This window comes from Homo sapiens, chromosome 5, assembly GCF_000001405.40.
Source record: "Homo sapiens chromosome 5, GRCh38.p14 Primary Assembly".
Taxonomy (NCBI): Eukaryota; Metazoa; Chordata; class Mammalia; order Primates; family Hominidae; genus Homo; species Homo sapiens.
The window spans coordinates 121,355,712-121,377,771 of NC_000005.10; the positions used below are offsets into that span (position 1 = coordinate 121,355,712).

At 33.6% G+C, this 22,060-nt stretch overlaps 1 annotated feature.

Annotated features, from left to right (window-relative positions):
• Positions 17,770-17,970: a silencer, noted in NCBI's record as "peak5441 fragment used in MPRA reporter construct". NCBI's record gives its function as "represses an SCP1 promoter by STARR-seq MPRAs in K562 erythroleukemia cells {active_cell/tissue: K562}" and the evidence as "EXISTENCE:reporter gene assay evidence [ECO:0000049][PMID:32103011]".

A 22,060-nucleotide genomic window follows, 5' to 3' on the forward strand; every position in this document is an offset into this window, starting at 1 on the left:
ATAAAGTTAAGAATATTAACTAATAACACAATTATGCTACTGTCAACACTAAGTTGACCTAATAATTAACAGCATCAATGAGGACTACATATTTTGTTGAGATTACATGCTGGTACATGAATTTTGCTATTATATGACATTTAAACATGAGAGATGGGTAGATTGCTGTAAAAAGTGTGATTTTATCACTGATGGAATGTATATCCATCAGGAATAGAATTGTTGGACTTAACACATACTTGTTCCTCCTGCAAGACACTATTTGGAGAAATACTAATTTTGAGAAGCATAGTACTATACTTACTATAATACAGAGAAATACATTCTGACAATTGCTAAGTGTAACATTGGCCTGGAATTTTAAAGGTATCTAATAGATGAAGAGACCATTCCATACATATTCTATGTTTTTAACATGTGAGTGGATCATACTTTATCTTGTCTTAAATAAAATGTTTAGTAAAGGTAAATCTTTTGACAAATTTGGTTCTTACCACTAGGATAATACCTAAGTTTTTCCTGGATCCTTGCTTGACATTTTATCAAGATGTTTCCAAGTAGCTATAGTGGAAGAATTCCAATAACTAAGGCTGAGGCATATCTATGAAATGTGAAAATTTTAATGGGTAAATGTTTAACAACCGTCCCTCTCATTTAAAAAAGCTCACATTTTTAGCATTTGCCAATTTGAGTGGCATAAATGCACAAACCATGACTGATGTTTACATAAGAATATTATTCCACTAAACATGGCATTTGATAGAGATACACACAATTAACTATCATGAGCAGGTATGAACTGGCTCCAGCACACCACTGATGTGATTAAACTTCCTATATACCAATAAAGAATAATTTTATTTTTTACAAATCAATCTGTGAGTAGCAATTTCTTGTTCAACACACACTTATGTGGACACTTTAAAATGATTCCTAATTATATTAGCTTCCTGGTGTTCACACTCTTGTGTTATCTTTCCCCCTCAGTGTGGCCAGAAGCTGTGATTTGATTTTAACCAATAGGATACAGCAAAAGTTATCAGATGGCATTTACATGATTATATTTTATAAGACTGTAATATTCATTTTCCTAGGAGACTTCTCTCTTGCTGGCTTAGGTAAAGCAAGCCCCACATGGCAAAGAACTGAGGGACAGACAATAAGAAACAAGCTCTCAGCCCAACAAGCCACAAGGAAGTGAATTTTGCCAACAACCAAGTGAGCTTGGAAGCAGATCCTTCCATAATCAAGCTTTGAGACAAAACTGCAACCTGGATTGACCCCTTGACTGCAACTTTGAAGAGAACAACTAAATTGTGTCCTTACTGCTGATCCACAGGATTCTGTGTTGCTTTAAACTACTGTTTGTGGTAACATTGTAACACAAATATACATAACCAATACCATTTACATGGTGCTTACTATATGTCAGGCACTATTCCAAGAGTTTACTCTTTTAATCTACGTAACTCAAGGATATAATTCATCTCATTTTATAAATAAAGAAGAGAACACAGAGCTTAAATAACTTGTCAAAGTTCACAGAGCAAGCATCTCCAATCAAAATATATAATAATATGCTTCTCTGTAAAAATAATATTTTGTTAATGAAATGGAGTTTAATAGGCCTGTATGCTACCCACATCTGAATTCCACTGAAGTATTTTCTCACAAATATTTTATACCTCACAAAATATTTTATACACAAATATTTTATATCTCACAAAAATTTTTATACCTCCTGGCAAACTCAATCAAACCAAGAAATAGGATGCCTTAATTGGTTAGACAAGGGAGAGTTGAAATTCGTTTCAGCTTGTCTGCAATCTGTTTGTAACACAGAGAAGAAATTTTTGCCAGAAGACAATTTAACGAGGGTGATGTAAATATTTTAGCCAATATCATGTAACCATCTTCTTCCCATATTAACTATCTTGTTCCATAATTTCCATCCCCCACTTAAACAATCCTGATATTGCCTAATGTTAAAATATGTTTAAAAGAAAAGTTTTAACTTAGGCTAAAATATCATTTTCATAAATAGAGCTAAGGAAATGACAATTGATTAGAAAATAAATGTCATGTTGCCACATTACTGAACTACATTATACTATAGGATATCCCAAGTACTGTAATGTGGAGTAGTGTTAGATTTTGGATAACAGATGGGAGACCAGTTTTGATGCAAAGATTTTAGTTGATTTCCTGAGTTAAATCAGATGTTCATCCCTATAAATTAAGTAGCAATCTTATCCCTATTCTAGCATTATAAATGCCTCTATTATATCATGTAATAAATGTTGACCATAGTTAAAATACAGAAGTGTGACATATTTCTTTGATATAACCCCATAAACATCCCCTACCCGTCTGTCCTTCCTTAGCATTCAGAGTACTCTAGCCACATGGAACTACCATACCAAAACATTTGTTTTATGAGTGAATAGCTTAATTGCTGATATCCTTATAGAAAACACATACCTATGTATGTGTAATAATTTCATACCATTGTTCAGTTTATTGAATGTTGAAGATATTAAACAGGACACTTGTGTAATGTAACTGCTCTTGGATTAGTCACAATAGAAAGGTATTTGCTTAGGTTGTCAGCTGTGACAAACTGAATCACTAAATTACCTCAATTTTAAAATTAATAAAAGATATTTAAGATATATCAATTTTTTCTTCTGGTCTGATAATAAAAGCATGGAAAATTCAGGAAAATGGAAAAATCCTATGGCTTATCAGGAAAGATGATGTTTTGTATCAATATGTCTACCCTGAGAGCTTTGTCCATCTTCTTTTGTTACTTTTAGCTAATCCTTTAGAGGGGCAAAGAGAACAGAGAAAGAAAATGAAAACAAAAAGATGGCACGTATCAATCATTTATCCAGATAAACCTATTTCCATATATTGGGTGTTCTATGTATTTAAGGATATATGTTAATAATTAACTCAAAAGTTATGAGTAAATTTCATTTAGCTCAAAACGTTTCCATACACAATCTGTTATGTCAGAAAATATTAACCAAGGTTCCCACCTTACCGATAGAAAAAAATAACCAACTCCCAGTTGCATCAAATCTACAGTTTTGGTGAACGTTAGTTTCATGACCATTAAAAAACAGAGATTAACAGATGCTTTCAGATCCAAAATAAGGCAGTCTTTTATATACAAAAGCCTTGGCACATGTCTGCAAATGCTACTGAGAAAGGTAGCATTGCAAACTGTTCAGTCTCATAGTTGATTCAAAAACACTGCTCCCTTCTTTTTCTTCTCTAACATGCCAGTCTAGAAATTCAGCTCCTGTGCCATAGGGATGATTGGTATTAGAGTCTTCCTTCTTGCATGCATCCCCTACAGTGCTGCAATGAGGATGGTAGAAATGGGAAACACGTCCCCTCTTACTTGAGTGCCTGTAGCACATTTGTTAAACTGTTTGTTGTCACTTCTCTGTAAAATATTAACTGGAAGTTGGTTCCCTTTTTGCAGCAGCCAATGAAATATTCATTCTCTTGAGATTATTTGTTGGTTTTTCAAGAACCTTCCTCTCCTTGCACAATTTCCCAGTGCTAGAGACTTGGCTTAGGATTAAATTTCTTTTTAAAGCATCTCAAATCACCATACTGTCTTTTGTCCTCTGGTATGGGTTGTCCAGGGAGTAAGTTTACTTTTGTTCTGTAATAAACTACCCGCAAACTTAGTGGCCCCATCACATTATTATCACTTACAATTATTACTAGGTGCTTCTTCTGGTATGGACCACCTAGTCTGATCTGTTTGGCTAGCTCAGGCATCTGTAGTAAACTAATGAGTCACCTAACCAATTGGATATTATAGGATAGCCTTGCCTATGAGTTTGGAGATTGAACAACTGAGGCAACAGGCATCTTATCTACGTGTTTTTTCGTTCTTCATTTTCTAGAAAGTTAGCAGGCTGATTTACATGGTCACCCAAGCTTTCCAAATGTAGCCAGAGAGGGCAAGTTTCAATGTATGAAAACTTTTCTAGATGAGAATGCTTCTTTTGGGAAGATTCTATGTATACCCCTCTCATTGCTTTCCACAATATTCCCAGCTGAGGAGAGACATGTTGAACAATTCAAATGAACTAATAACACTCAATTTCTTAAAATCTAGTGGATGCTGATGTGTTCACTATTTATCTTTAAATAAATCATTCAATTTATATTATTTTAACTTAACTATATCTGTATCTATATACACATATATTCTTTTATATGGTATATTTTAATATAATATTTTTAAGGATTTGGTAATAGAAAAAATAAACAAAACTATAAATTTGAATAGACCTACCAACTTGGCCCCTAGCATTTGCTGGCATTTGCAATATAAAAATTCATCACTTATTCTTTCTAAAATTAGAATAATTAGAAAATAAGAGTGGATACTTAGAAATTAGAATCTTTTACAGGCAATACCTAACTAAAAATAAAGCTGATAAAATTTACCTTCCCATCTTCCAATGTTGTTTCTGGCTACAATGGGACTAAATAAGACATAGACAAAAGGGAGGTATCTAAAAAATTCTTCTATATTTAAAATTAAATAGCACACTTATGTATCACACATGGGTCCACAAAGAAACCACAAAAGGTATTATCAAAAGTTTTAGTTGAATCTATATTATGTCCTTACTATGAATACTAATCTGTGTGTGTGTGTGTGTGTGTGTGTGTGTGTGTGTGTGTGTACTTGAAAATAATTTGTTTGATTCAGGGCTTGCATTTTTGCTCTTTATTTTTCTTAATTATATTATACTTCTATTTCCCAGTCATCTCATTTATGAGTTATGCTTTTCTGTATTCATTAACAGATTTCCTTTTATCCCACTTGCATTTTTCTTTCCCAGCCCACTTTATGTTGGAAACCTCCTCCTTCCATGGCCTTCCTGATAGCAGATGATAGAAAAGTAAATGTTTTAGTTAACCATAACAAAAATTATGTTATCCTTAACCATGCTCTACCTCTCACATTTTACACTTAATCTATATAGAAATCCAACTGACCTTATCACCAAAATGTTTTCGTAATCTGAAACCCATGTCTACACCGCCATCATCTTGGTCTGTTTCATCATGATATCACACTCAGACTAATGCCATAGCCATCCCACCACCACGTTTTCATTGCTTTAATTTTTGCCCAACCTGCTTTAGTGTATTTTCTACATAATAGCCTGGGAGACAATTTAAAATGTAGTTCTGATGTCACTATTTTACTATAAAACTTGTAGTGGCTTCACTTAGCCCTTCCTTTACCTGAATGTTCTCTCCAAAAAGTCCCTCAACTTCTTGTTGTTGCTCAAATTACATGTTTTCAATGAAGCCCACTCTAACTACCGCCCTTGCCCCATGTATCCACTACTTTAAGTCTTGCTTACTCTAGTTCTACATTTTTTCATAACATTCATCATTTGTAGCAAAGTGACCTACAAATATGTATTCACCTGTTTAGTATTTAATATCTGCATATTCTATTTCACTGGGGCAAGAAAAGTATTGTTTTTTCACTGGTATAAGAACCTACAACATTGCCTCAGATATGATAACCCTTCTATAAATATTTATAAAATGAATAAAGCATTCATTTTAAAAATTGGGTCTCATAATTCACGGTTAAAGCATTTTGACTACAGATTTAATTCTTTAAACTGTGATGGATACATTCATTTAACAATGTCTTCATGAGCCAGTTTGGATTTTTAAGACATTTGTCTATTTCATTTAGATTGCAAATTATTGGCATGAAAATTTCCATAATTTTATTGTCTACAATATTTATAAAATTCATATTTCCATCTTTTTTCTATGATCAGTTTCATCAGATATTACTTTCTGCTTTCTCTCTATAACAAATGATGAACAAATTTCTATCTTATTAGTTCCTTCTTACTACTATGTGTTTATTTTACGTCATTTTTCTGTGTTTTAAAAATGGGTGGCTAGCTCATTAATTTTCTATCTTTTGCCATCCCAACAGCTACATTTAGAGCTCTGATTTCGCCTTCAAGATACTGTTTTAAATGCATTCCATAACGTTTATATTATATTGTAATAATTAAGTTCCAAATATTTTCTTTAGCATGTGATTTTTTTCTTTGACCTAAGGGTTATGTAGAAATGTGCTTCTTCATTTCCAAAGACAGAAGAAAATTTTACTTATCTTATAGTTATTATTATTTTTGCTGAATTTCACTGTGGGTGGAGAAAAATTTCCATATGACATCAGTGTTTGAAATTTGTTAAGACTTGCTCTATGGGTCAATATATAATCAATCTTCATAAACACTCTATGTTGGCTTAAAAAAATGTACATACCAAAATTGATATGTACAATACCAATTGGTATGTACAAAATTGGTATGTACAATACCAATACCAAGGGTACAGCATTCTATATGTATGTATTAGGTGGTTTCTTAATTATATTCTTCAATACTTCTATCTCCTCAAAGCATTTGCCTTCTTTTTCATAAGCTCCTATGATATGTTCAACATCTTCTACTATGATTGTTGACTGATGTATTCTTTGTGTATTTATATGATTTTTTCTTTTTTTTATAATTTAGAAATTGATTTCTGATGAACTGAAACTCTTATATGATATTCATCTATATCTCTAAAAAGCCTTTATGTAAAAATTATATCTGTAGTGACATAGCTACATCAGCTCTTTTTGTCTAGTTTGCATATTGTACCTCTTCTTTTTCATTCCTATATCTTTGTTTTAGATTAGATCTATTTCTCATGAATCAGTGACAATAATGTGTGCATTTATTTTCTAACAGTTCAATCTATACTGTTGTTTTATTCATCTTTGTGCAAAAGCCACACTCTTCTATTTATTGTGGTTTTACAATAAGTCTTCATATTTATCAGTTTCATGTCCTTTAATTGTGTTCTTTTTCTTTAAGATTGCCTTGGCAGAGTTTCTCTTCTGCTTGAAACGTAGAAAGTGGGAAAGGAATCTTACACCCATTTTAACAAATGAGTAAAATTTGGATAATCTAAAAAGCCACAGTTTTTATTGAATCCATCAAAGAGCTAAAGACAAAAGGCAGTGAAGAGAACTGAATTCCAACTAATGGCATAATCTTCTGAGATGTAAGGCACGTGAGCCATTTTACCATTGGCAGATCACAGAAGGAAGAGGTAGCTGTTGTAGAAGCAGATAAGAAAAAATTAACTCTAATTTTAATAATTTTTTAAAGCTGCATTTGGACACAGCATCAGTTTAGATTACCTGGGATTTCAAGATACAAAGACGATCTGTGGACACATACACTTTTCTCCAAAGACCTCCACTGATTATTTACAAGAAAGATCGGCTCAGGGGAAAAGACCAGAGAGCTCACCTCTGTAGCAGAGGAAAGCCACGGAAATAATTTTCTATTGACTGGAAACACACAAAACACAGCACACTTCTCTGAGCTCTTTGACTATATGAAGCAAAAGCCTTAACCCACTGGAAAAGAAAGGCAAACCTTCCAGCTCCTGGGCTACTTCACCCAGGTAAGAGGTAGGAAATTATATTACCAGTCACCAGATCCAGGCAAAGATCCAATGCTACCGTGGAATGGTAGACATAGAAGTCTTCTGTCCTTTGCGAGTGGGACTGAAATATCTCTTCTTCTAGGATCTTGTACCAGTATAAACAAGTTTGCTAGAGGTGTGGAGAGAGGAAGGTAACTTACTCTTGCCAAGCCTGTCACAGATTGAAAGCAGAAAATAGCTGCCATGCAGTGCCAAGTGTCAGGAATGACAAAAGAGCCTTCACAATCCCCAAGTGCATAAAACCTTCCTAAGATTGTGGCTTGACGATAACTGAGAACACTGTAATAGAGAAGATTCATGATTATACTGATATATAGAGAAAGAACATTTGTCAACATATAACACTATCTCAAGCTAAAAACATCTCAACTAAGTGTAATAGGAGGATTCTATCTTCTTCAATCTAATATAGGACATCTACTTAGAAAAAAAATAAATAACTAAAGCAAAAATGTCAAATGATTCTCCAGGCCCCAACTCCAACAAAACAAATCACGAAACAAAGATATCCTCTCCAGTGATATTTATCCAGTATTTAAATTGGAGAACTTAACCAATTTATATATTTTTATATTTATAACATAAATTTTAAATTTATATTTATAAGGCAAGAAAAGATAAATTAAAAAAAGATTGAAATGAAAGAAACAAAACCGTCTTTATTCATAGATGAAATGTTGAGATTCCGAAGAACCTACAATGTAGAAATTAGAAAAAATAGGTGATTTTACTAGTATCACAGGATACAAGAGCAAAATACAAAAATAAATTGACTCAAAAATGTGTAAGGAAAAGCAAATACAGGCAAACCTGAAAAATAAATAAAATCAAATTTGAGGAACATTGCACTACCTGGTTCCAAGATTTATTCTAAAACCAGGATAATCATGACAATGTAGTATTGAAATAAACATAGATATATAATCAATGGAACAAAATGTAGCATCCAGAGGTGGACTCTCATATACATGATGTCAAGATAATAGGATGAAGAAACATAGTAATTACAAAAAATGATTCTGGAACACTTCAAAATTCAGCGCAAGCAAACAAACCTCAGCCATTCCCATACTGTGTGTGTATATATATATATATATATATATATATATGTATGCAAAAATCCAATCAAATTAGCTCGAAGGCCTAAATGTAAATAAAAACTATAAAACTCCTAGGAAAAATTATATTAGAAAATTTTTGTAGCTTTTTTGGGGTTAGACAAAAATATCTTAGGTTGGAAATCAAGATCACAAATGAATTTTTAAAGTATGAATTAGACTTCATTAAAATGAAAAATGTTTTTTTAATTAATAACATTTTTACCAAAATGAAAAGTTAATCCAATACTTGGAGAAAATATATGGAGTACATCTGATAAAGGACAGACTATCCAAACTGTATGCCAAACTCTTACACTCAGTAATAAAAACAGCCTAATAAATAATGAGCAAAAACTTGAACACTTAACCAAAGAAGACATTTTAATGGCAAACATGCACTCAAAAAGATGCCCAATGTCGTTAGTCAATATGTAAATGCAAATTAAACCTGAAGTAAATACCACTACTACACATCTACTAGAATGGGAGGGGGAAGACGTCCTTAATAAGTGTGGGACAAGGCAGAGAACAAGTGGAATTCTCATGCATTGCCAACTGTAGGATGCGAAATGCCTTTTTAGATGTTAGCTCCTAGTAGTAGGTTGTCAGACTTGTTGTTCACATTTCTCCCAGAAATAGAGGACTAGAAACCCTTCAATTCTGATGTTACATATATTTTATGACTTGTTTACATATTCATTATACAGATTATTAAAAATAATGAGATTTAGATTGGTAATAAATCATTTGTAATCTATTGGAAATGTATTCTTCTTATATATCTATATGTAACACATAATACTTGTTATCTATTAAAATACATTTATTGGAAATGGGTATTTTGTTATCTATTTTAATTATCACAGTATAGATTTATAAAACTACTCTAATATTTAATAGTTATGAGACTTATAACTATAGCTAGAACAATATTTTAAAACGTGTTTATATTTTCACAAAATGTTTTCTTTTAAAAATAAATGTATAATATAGTCTAGAGAAAGATCATCATTTGACTACTTATTGTGGAAACCAAACTGGATTGAGTTCTCTAAAGGCAAATATTTTTGCATGCATTCAAATTTATGCTTTGCAAAATGTGTTCTAAATATTTTATTACATAAATTGAACTTCATGTGAGAATGATGAAGAGAGATATACTTGCTCTATTGTGTGAACCAAATTTGTGAATACTATACCAATAGGTTCATCAGAGGGTTTTCTGCAACCATACTCACCCTCTGAGAATATTCATAAATATAGTTTCCTTCATCTTATTTTCTGCAATTGCTTAGTATTCCAGTACTATTTTAGGGTTCAATAAAAATTGATGGTTCCAATTCCTCCACACTTTCATCTAGTTTTACGTGAATACTCATAGATTATTTCTCCTGGATAGTGAATGAAAGATCTATAAAGAATAGAGTGAAGTCTATTATGCACTTATTGAATTTACATGCCCTCTTACAAAAATAAGATTGTACCCATTAATATTGCAACTTCCTGGCTATCTCATCCCATGTTTTTTTTTTTTTTTCCTTTTGGTTTTTCTTTCTGGAAGCCCTAAAGTATTTTAAGATTGGCAGACATTATATTAATTTCTAGGCACTTTGATAAAATCAACAGAAATGTTAGCCTAGACATGACAAAACAGTTCATGTCATTCAGTAATGAAAGAAAATCTATATAAGCATGGGAACACTTTATGTTTGAAATGACTGTAAATTTTGAAACTTGCTGTTTGATTCTACAAGCAATTTGTTAGCTATGAGCTTGACATAGTTACAAAACATTTGTCCATGATGTTTGCAAGAACAAGATGTCCTGCTTCAGCTCTCACAACTGTGAAGCCAAGATGATTGTCTCTGTGAAATTGTTACCAGTTTTGTCTGACTACATCATCAAGCACTGTAGACTCCTCTTGGTGCTTTTGATAATTACACTTTGATTATCATCAATGACTTCAATAAGACATCAAGTAGGTGGGTGGGAATGCCGTCAAAGTGATCAATTAAAATTACCAAGACTTTATTTTAAAATCACTTCAGATATGTTCCTAAGATACGGTATGGATGGTGGTTAATAAATGAATAAAGGAGTTAAAATTTACATACAGATGACATTTTAGACTACAGCATAAAATAAGTCAGTGGAAGAGAGAAAAATACAGATCATTCCCTTTAAGACATTTCCATTTTTACGAGCTGTGGCAAATAATTTCCAGGCGAAGCATGAAGTCCTTCAAATTTCACAAGAAATGTTAATATATACTCAGAACTGGGCATCACTATGAAAGAATGTAAATCATTGTCAATAAGCAGGGCATGTCCTACTAAGATTATGTTGCTACTGCATAGTCACATATGACTCATACAATCATAGTACTCTAGAAATCTTGAATGCCCTACATTCAAGCCTGTGTGACTACAATCCCCCATGATTTTGTGCCTTTTTTTCTTACAGTATAGCATCAAAAATGAGAAGTCAGCTTCACTGAGGACCCCAGACATACGTATTCTTTGTTTTGTAGAAATATATAAACCAGTAGTAGTTGTAGTCATCTGACACAAACATCATTTTCTGCTATATTGCATTCCAATCTTTTTTTTTTCAATCGGATGGCTAAGTCAGTGCCAACACCTAATAATATTTAACATTTTATTCAAAAATCTTCATTGAATCCTGGATTCTAGCATTTGCTCTAATTGTTGATTGACCATTTATGCAGCCAACATTAATTTAACTTTAAGCTTAACTGATTACTAGTAGAAAAGTGATTTTGTGGCATATCATGCAAACACAATCTTATTCAAAAAGATTTTTCTACTTCCATATTGACATGCATTTGGTGAAATAGTTTTTAAAAACCTAATGGTTTTGATTGGATATATTGATATTATGGTTAATAACATTTTTTCTCACTCAATTTTCTATAAGCTTGAACAGTTCTTTACAATTTAAAATACTTTTACAATGATGTGCTTCCAAGTCAGTCTTTGGTGTTAAGCTCTGAGCTTTTTATTATTATTATTATTATTATTAAGGCAGGGACTGTATCTAATCCAGCTTTGTATTCTCAAGGCATAGAAGCAGTTTCTGATAGGTATTAGATACACAAACAACGTTGCAATGCAAATTATAAACCTGGAGTACAAGATCTTTGCCTCTCTCAGGACCTGTTTTCCTGGAAAGTAAACCATTTCCCAGCTGCTTGTAGGTTAGATGCTATTGGCAGACTTTTTGCAGATAATCCTTTAAGATGTAAAAGTTCTGTGATGTGATTTACACTTCAGAGACTGATGGTGGATAAGGATACCTAAGATGACATTTGTGCTTGGGTCCTCCTCCTTCCCTATCCTTCTATCACTATCTTATAGGTTTAATTCTGTTGAGTACACCCTCAATAAGCCATGTGCTCCTGCATTAAAGTGCATGATTTCATGATCTTTACCTAGTACAGATGTGAAAAAATCCACTAGACTACAGTTTCCCCCAAGGGGTTCATCTGCATTCCAGACTCACACCAAAACCCAAAGTTATCTAACCCCATTCTCCTCTCCTTATACCTCTCACCCACCTATGCTGGTGAAACTGACAGGATAACTGCATTCAAAGAAGAAAGAAATAGGAAAGACCTAAGAGTCCTTGGCTCACTGTAGTACTGAAATCCATCTGGGCACATGTGTCCAGCTCTCTCTCCTTCAAACACAAGGAATGTTCTTTGACTATGGCCCAGTTCTGCTACCTGGAAGTTGTTCCCTTAATGCACTGTTCTCCACATCTCTTGGCAAGCCATCTGAGAATATCTTCCTTTTCAATGAGAAATAGCCCATGTTTGGACTGGGCAGTCTTCTCAGCCTGCTTTCTGGCTGTAGGAAGTTGGCATTTCAGGCCTATTTTTCATTTTGAACTGTCTTGGGCCCTGAAGAGGCCAAGTTGGTAGTGCTTTGGCCAGGACAAGCCTCTTAAAAATGTTATTTTTGGAAATAAATCTCTATGTCCCAAAATTAACATCTGCAATCCTTACTGAGATTTATCTCTCTCTACATTGGGTGTGGTGGCCTGCTGTGTAGGACAATGTTTTAAGATTCTCCTGACCCCTTTTGTCCAAGTAAGAGTGCATAAGCAATGCATCCAGCCATTCTTATTTCTGAACAAATTTTTGTTACAACCAAAGCTTTGATTTTTTACCTTAGTGTATTTCTTTGAGAAATTTTTGAAGTTTTGGATACTCTATATTACTGTATAGAATAATCTATATTATTTAGATTATATTTATATATTTTGAACAATCTATATTATTCTGTATTTCCTGGAAATTTTGCTTGTACTCCAAGTATCTTCTTAGCTCTTGCTTGAATTATTTTAGCATATTCAGCTAGAATAACCCACTGGCATTTCAACATTCTAGATATATCTTCATTAACATAAAAAAAATTTTCCAATGAACTTTTTAAACTTCCAACATTCCTCAGGTCATATGTTTGCCTTTGTTTTTCTGCCACTATATAGTTCAGTTTGCTCTTTTTGAAGACTCAAATAATTTTCTCTGTCTTTTCTGTCTCAGTAACAGTTTACTTGCTATTCAATCTGTTCCCAGCCTCCTCACCACTTTTCTAGCCTTTCCTGTTGCTGAACCCCATTCCAATGCTACGTATTTTAGTGTTTTTTTACAGCATTAGATTCCAATTTCTGTGCCATTTATTTATTGCTGCATAACAGACTGTCCTCCCAAATAGTAGTGTCTTAAAAAATATTATTTTATTTCCTCTTGACCTAATGAGTTGGCAATTTGGGCTGAATTTACTAATTTACTCTTGAAGATACAGTCATCTTCCCCACAAATTTGTTTATAAAAGTGGCACTACCTCATATCCAGTGCCAGTTTCTTCTAGTAAGGCTGGATTTTCTTTGCATGTGGTCTTTTTTTTTTTTTTTTTTTGAGACAGAGTCTTGCTCTGTCACCGAGGCTGGAGTGCAATGCCACATCTCGGCTCACTGCAAACTCCACCTCCCAGGTTCAAGCGATTCTCCTGCCTCAGCCTCAGGAGAAGCTGGGATTACAGGCACCCACCACAACACCCGGCTAATTGTTTGTATTTTTAATAGAGACAGGGTTTCAACATGTTGGCCAGTGCAGCAGCACCAGTTGTGGGGGGTCTGTCCCTTGCAGATCCCTGACCCAGCGAGGGATGAATAACGTACAGTGATATACAGATATTCTGCTTTGCCAGTCCAGCTGAGGGTGTCCGAGCCTCTTACAGACTCCTTGTTGAGTATTGTAAACAGTTGCAACCAAGGCCTCCATCAGCGAGACTCACATTTATTCGGTTAGATTAATTAAGAAAGGCTTGAGTCAACACCATTAGAGGTTAATTGACATTGTGGACTTCCCAAGTAAAAAGCACTTAAGCACCAAAGGTGCATCAAAGGTTAGTCATAAGACCACATTAATAAACAAGCTATCTAGGTAAACTATTCTGCCTTTCTTTGTTACTACTTTGTTTAACTAAAGGTAAAGGGACCAGGCTGCCTTCAGCCAGATCTATTACCGAAGTTATGCAAACTTCTTGGCCTTCTAAGAAGATTTATGTCTACCTCTATAGCTAGCTCTAATATTTTTCCCACCAGCCTGATTGAACGCCAACAGGCCAGGCTGGTCTCAAATTGCGTACCTCAGGTGATCTACCCACCTCTGCCTCCCAAAGTGCTGGCATTACATGCATGAGCCACCATGTCTGGCCTGCATGTGGTCTTTCATCATAAAGGAATCTGAGTTTTCCCACCCAGAAGTGCCACATCCCAAGAGGGTGAGAGGCCTGTTAATAGCTAGACTCAAAAGTCACAAAACTTCATATTTGCTCTATTCAATCCTTCTTTATGTGTTGTAGGGTCAGCCTAGTTTTAAGGGTGTAAAAATAGACTCTACACTTGATCAGATAATCAGAAAAGTTGCAAAAAAAAAAAAAAAAAAAAGGAGCATGATAAAGGAATAACTGATTATTGTGGCCTTCCTTACAAATTCCAATTCTTTAACCATGGTTAAGGAATTTACTTAATGAATTAAGCTATATAATTTAATCTTTGATTTTTAATAACCTAAAATGGTTTCTTTGTAATACTAGAACTTATTAATTTACAGAGATTTCAAGCAACTCATCAGATATAGTGAACAAAACTCCAATAAAATAGCATGTTTTGTTACAAAATTGTTGGAGAATAGTAAATAACGTGTAACTAAATACCAAAAAGACAATTCATTTTATAAATATTCATATTTGTTTGTATTCATTGTAATTCTTTTTCCTCAGGCTTAGGAAATTTTTTTTTTTTTACCAACTTGTCTGCGTCTTGTTTTAGAAACCTCTAACTTTTTTTTGCATTTGCACATCTTTAGGTATCCTATTTTATTTTTAACTATATGTGTTACCTTTAACAATAATAAAAATAAAGTTATTTATTTGTAACATTTTGAGGGTTCATTACTTAGTTGGTTGAAATAGTCTCTGAAAATTATTTTGCCTACATATAATTAAATCCATTAAAATAGCTTAATAGCATGATAAAAATGTAGGCAGATTAATATTCATAGTTCACAGTGTGAATGTTTCTAGAGGTGAATTCTAAGCTTATATGGTTATTTTAACCAAATTACTTCAATAATACTGACTTTTCCTTTTTTTACTGTGTAAAAGTCTAAATTGGTTGAGACAATTCCTGTAACATTAAAATTATGTTAAAACTATTGAAATTTCTTATAGTTACCATTGAAAACTATGAGATACTATCTCTGTTATTACCTATTTTACATTTTTCCTGATCCAAATATAGTGTATATTATTATGTATATGAATCCACATCTTAAAACATCTTATCATTTACAAATTATAAAATTATTTGCTATTTTGCTAGGTTTCCTTTCACTTTTATGAACATTTGTAAAAAACTAGTCTACAAATTTAATATTTTTATTATTTTAACGAGGTGTCATTATCTATACCCTAGTAGGCTACAAAATATTAATATGACTCTTCCTCTTCTAGCTTGCCTTCTAACTTTTCTCTATTTATTCTTACTTATGACTTCATTGTGCCTGCTAAAAATATCAATTGTGCGAGTTTATTTGAAAATCTTCAGAAAAAAATACTAATATTATGTAGAATTAAAACTAATAACTAAAATCTCTGTAGTAGCACACACATGAACTAATTTTAGGTAAAAATGAAAGCCATAAATAATGATTATATTTTTATAAACAGTACTGCCCATGATGCTTGCTATGGACTGCATTTTGTTCTCCCAAAATGTATACGCTGAAGCCCTAACCACCAGTGTAACTGTATATGGAGACGGGGCTTTTACAAGGTAACTATGTAAAATGAGTTCATAAATGTGAGATCTTAGTTCAATAGGATTGTTGGCCATATCAGAAGAGGAAGATATCTCCACTCTGTCTCTGCCCCCATGTGCATACTCAGGAAAGGCCATTTGATCGCACAGAGACAAGGTAGCCTTCTACAAGCCAGGAAGAAAGCTCTCACCAAAACCAGACGATGCTGGTGCCCTGACCTAGCATTTCCATCCTGAATACTATAAGAAAATAAATTTATGTTGTTTTACCCATGAAGTTTATGGTATTTTGTTATGTCAGCATGAGCTGACTAATATAGGACTTTAAAGTTTTGTTTCATTTGGATTGAAATTAAATGAGTTCAAGTTTTAAAGCCATTCTTCTTCAATATGATTCTTCAGAAAATAATTTCATAAAATTCTCCTGGGGAAAGGGTTCTATAGTTAAGTAAATGGGGATAGGCTGGATATCCCCATTTATTTCCTCTTGGAAACTCAAAGTATACATTCATTTATTACAGGCTTCTAGAATCCTACTGTTTAATGTTGTATAACCCAAATAAAGCTAGGCTTTCTTGAGATTAAATTTTAATTTAAATTTTATCTCAGCATGAAGACAGAACAAAGAAAATCTCACTCAAAACATTAGAAAGTAGTAGTCCTTTAGTAAAAATTTATTGCAGACATAGATAATGGGGATACAAAATAACATAACTTTACTTATATAAATCTCTGAATCCTACTCCACATGGAGGCACCAGTTTTCTCCCCTGTTCCTCTCTAAAATTCCTTGAAAAGTCATATCTCCAAACTTGTTTTGATTCTCCTCTCTTCTTCCTTATTCAGATTTATGATGGTACAATTACTTTATTATTTAGAACATTCTAGACCTTTTCTGCCTTCTCCCACATATATCTTCGTCTATCATCTCTAAAGATCGATAAATAAAAGTTCTTGTTCAGAACACTGTTTTGATGTTTTTGATGTTTCACATTTGTTCACCACATACTTCACGAATTTTGCTACCAAGTATCTATCAATACTATAAGGAAAGAATATTCTACAGGATACAAACAAGGAATATGTATTATAAACATGGTTTTGTGTTCACATGGGTTGAATCTTCAGTTTTTCATATAAATGGAATTTCCACACAGTAGATGCAAAAGTGCATGTTTAAAAATTAACTGAATATTGCCATGACAGTACTAAAAGATGCGTATCAAGCTTAAATGTTCTCTGTTGGAGCAAAACATAATCACCCTGAGATTTCAATCGGTGCAGATACTTCACTAGTGTGGTAATGATGACGCAAAAACAGTCAAAAACATTTATCTAGGCTTATTAATAAATCTTGTCCTCATTTATATATGTTGTGTATAATCCCATAAATGCACATATTTGTAACATAATTGAATTACCACCATTCATATTCTAACCGTAATCGATTTTGAAACACCAGATTTCCAAAGACCTTATTGTCCTTTCCTGCAAGAGCTCACAGTACACTTTTTTACAGTTTAAAATAAACAAAGCTCCACTCATGAAAGATTGACTACTATAGGAATGTCCCTCTCCTCATTAAACAACCAAAAGCAGGAAAAAAATATAAAGCAATGTTAGCAATGTTTCAGGCATGGGGTAACTGGCCTCATAAGACTCAGATCCCTCAAAAAAGAATTGCAGTCGCTTACTGGCAGGAAGCAGTTTCTATGTCATATCCCAAAAAAATCAAACTGTAAAGTCTTACTGAATTGGGCGTGGATGGGAGAACTACCAGTCATCAGTAGACCAAAAAATTCGCATGGCTCACAAAGGGTTAGGAACAGTTTGCTGTCAGCAGCTGTGGAGAAGAGGCCCACCCCTCCTGAGGTATTGGATAGATTCCTCAGAAGGATCTAATCTTAGTAGCTGTGCTAACTTAGCTACAACATAAAGACTGTAGACACACCATGGCAAAGCTTAAGAGCAAGCCTTTAAAAGGGCCAAACTGATTCACAATTTACTTGACTACACATTAGAACAATATTTAGTTTTCTTTATAAGAATATAATCTATCACCTAAAAAAACAAAATTCAACAATAAAAACTTACTAGGCATGAAATATGCCAGGAAAACATGATCCTTAAGCAGGAGAAAAATCAATCATAGAATCAGTCAGAAATACAGATGATTGAATTAGTTAGACAAGAATCTTTAAACACTATTATAAATCTTACAAATACGTTTAAGAATTTAAATATACAAAGATGATTAGGAGATAAATGAAATTTATTTTAAAAGATCCAAATTGAACTTCCAGAAAAGAAAAAAACCTGATCTCTGAAATAAAATAATGTACTGGATAGGATTAAAAGCATATTAGAATAAAGGAGAAAATACTGGAGAACTTAAAAGTGGGTGAAGGATATGAACAGACACTTCTCAAAAGAAGACATTTATGCAGCCAAAAGACACATGAAAAAATGCTCATCATCACTGGCCATCAGAGAAATGCAAATCAAAACCACAATGAGGTACCATCTCACACCAGTTAGAATGGCAATCATTAAAAAGTCAGGAAACAACAGGTGCTGGAGAGGATGTGGAGAAATAGGAACACTTTTACACTGTTGGTGGGACTGTAAACTAGTTCAACCATTGTGGAAGTCAGTGTGACGACTGCTCTGGGCTCTAGAACTAGAAATACCATTTGACCCAGCCATCCCATTACAGGGTATATACCCAAAGGATTATAAATCATGCTGCTATAAAGACACATGCACAGGTGACTTTATTGCAGCACTATTCACAATAGCAAAGACTTGGAACCAACCTAAATGTCCAACAAGGATAGACTGGATTAAGAAAATGTGGCACATATACACCATGGAATACTATGCAGCCATAAAAAAGGATGAGTTCGTATCCTTTGTAGGGACATGGATGAAGGTGGAAACCATCATTCTCAGCAAACTATTGCAAGGACAAAAAAACCAAACACCGCATGTTCTCACTCATAGGTAGGAATTGAACATTGAGAACACATGGACACAGGAAGGGGAACATCACACACTAGGGCATGTTGTGAGGTGGGGGGAGGGGGAAGGGATAGCATTAGGAGATATACTTAAATGATGAGTTAATGGGTGCAGCACAGCAACATGGCACATGTATACATATGTAACTAACCTGCACGTTGTGCACATGTACCCTAAAACTTAAAGTATAAAAAAAAAATACTGGAGAACTTAATGTCATACTAATAGAAACCATAAAAAATGAATCACAAAAAGAAAAGAGTATTAATTAAAAAGCGAGAACAGCGCCCAAGTGAGTTGAGAAACTAAATCAAGAGGTCTAAAATATATGTAATATGTGTCCCAAAAGGACAGAGTAAAGAGAGGGGGACAGAAAAAAATTATTCAAGAAAATGGCTTAAATATTGTTTAGTTTGATAAAAATCCACAGGTTAAAGAAGCTCAATGAATCTAAAGGAAATAAATGTAAATAAAACCACAACCAGGCACATTTTAATCAAATGCCTGAAAACCTACAGGAAGGAAAAAAAAACTTGAAAAGAAGCATGAGAACAAAAGATTATGCAGAGGATTAAAACAGACTTCTTATCAGAAACTATACAGGTTATGAAATAACTGCTTTAAAGAAGCAAAGGAAAAACTGTTAACCAAGAACTACAAACTTAGTGAAAATATCTTTTAAAATGCAGACAAAATAAACATCTTTAGAACAATATAGGTAAAGATGATTCACCGTCAGCACCTAAATTACAAGGAATGTTCAAAGAAGTGGGCAGAAGCCAAATGATGGCAGAACAAAATAAGGATCTATGCAAATGAATGAATGTACCAGAAATGGTAAATACACAAGTAAATTAAAAAATAATGTTTTAAATCTCCTTAGAAGTTAATTGACTGCTATGGAAACACTAATACCAATGTATTGTGAGACTTATATGTAGAAATAAAATATATGGTAACAGCACAAAGGCCAGGAAGCAAGAAATGTATCATTTTAAGATTCTTTTTTTTTTCCTCCCCCAGACGAAATTTTGCTCTTGTTACCCAGGCTGGAGTGCAGTGGGGTGATATCGGCTCAATGTAATCTCTGCCTCCCAGGTTCAAGCAATTCTCCTTCCTCAGCCTCCTGAGTAGCTGGGATTACAGGCATGTGCCACCATGCCCAGCTATTTTCTTTTCTTTTTTTTTTTTTTTTTTGGATTTTTAGTAGAGACGGGGTTTCGCCATTTTGGCCAGCCTGGTCTTGAACTCCTAACCTCAGGTGATCTACCTGCCATGGCCTCTCAAAGTCCTGGGATTACAGGTGTGGGACCCACGCCTGGCCGTAAGGCTTTTATATGTGAATTTAATGTTAAATGGTGATAAATTAAAACATATACTTTAAAGTCTACTGCAACTACTAAAAATAAACAAAAAGTTTAGCTAATTAACAATAGAGGTTAAAATGAAAACATTTAAAATCTACTCTTTTAGCAATTTTGAAATTTACAATATATAACTATTAACTATAGTCTTTGTGCTGTGAAAATAGATCTCTCAAACTTATTCCTGCTATCTAGTGCAAAAGAAAAATTGAAACACACACACACAAAAACAAAAACACACAATCCAAAATAAGGCAAGAAAGAGTTAAAAGAATATGAGGCAAACGGAATACAAAAATGATAAATGCAAGTCAAAATTCATTGTTTTATTTTACTTTTTAAATTACATAAAGTAAAATCCCTCCCCTTTTGAAAATATACAAGTTTCTATGAATTTTAATACATGTAAAGAATTGTGCAACCATAAACACAATCCAGGTAAGAAATGTTCTATAACTTTAATTCCTACATCCTATATAACTGCAATGTTTACATAGTCACATGCTTTCCTTCACCCCTAAATCCTGACTGTCACTGTTCTTCATCACTATAAATTTGCCTTTAAAAAAACATTATATAGATGGAGTTATACAATATATAGCTTAGCACAGTAAGAAGAAAAACTAGTGGTAGCACTCACAGTAGCTCTGAGTTATCTGAGTGTCCCAGAGAAATCAGATTAAGGTAATATTTCATGGTAGGACCTATAGAAAAACGTATGGAAGGCCAGACGCTGTGGCTCATGCCTGTAATCCCAGCACTTTGGGAAGCTGAGAAGGGCAAATCACGAGGTCAGGAGTTCGAGACCAGCCTGGCCAACATGGTGAAACCCCGTCTTCACTAAAAATTTAAAAAAAAAAACAGAAAAAAGAAAAAGAAATTAGCTGGGCATAGTGGCAGGCGCCTATAATCCCAGCTACTCGGTAAGCTAAGACAGGAGAATCGCTTGAACCTAGGAGGCAGAAGTTGCAGTGTGCCGAGACTCCAGCCCGGGCAACAGAGTGAGACAACGTATTAAAAAAAAAAAAAAAAAAACTGAATTGAAGAAAGTAAGAACCATCTCTCAAGAGAAATAATATAATCCTATGTCTTATGATATTTCCAAAAATAATTATTTAAATGTGACATTAGCTTACAATCAAACATTTTCTGGAATAGCAGAAGAAAAAGAGCATTAATCAGAATCAGTTAAAAAAAGACCTAGAAGAATTAAGATATTGAAATATCTGATACAGAATTTTAAGTACCAATCCAAAATATATTGGCAGGTAAAAGACAACATTACAAATTTCAGCAGAAACTTAGAAATTATTTTAGAAATGCATGGTAAATTTCTGTGGAATGAGTTGGTTTCTTATCTTCTTCTAAAGATTAAAGCTGTTTTCTAGTAACACTATTATCTCATGGATTTTTTTATAAATTCAGTGTTTTTCAGTCTACTGCACTCGTTAATCTTTTGGAAGCTCATATTCTCTAAATATGGACACTGGCAGACCCCCCACATGGATTCTTGTTTCCTTTTGGCACTAACCCAGTAATCTTTTATTGCTTCCTTGCTTTCCAATTTGGCAAAATATGCCAGCTTCTTCCTGTACATTTTCTGACCCTGACATGCAATGATTTCTTCAAAGAGTACATTTTTTC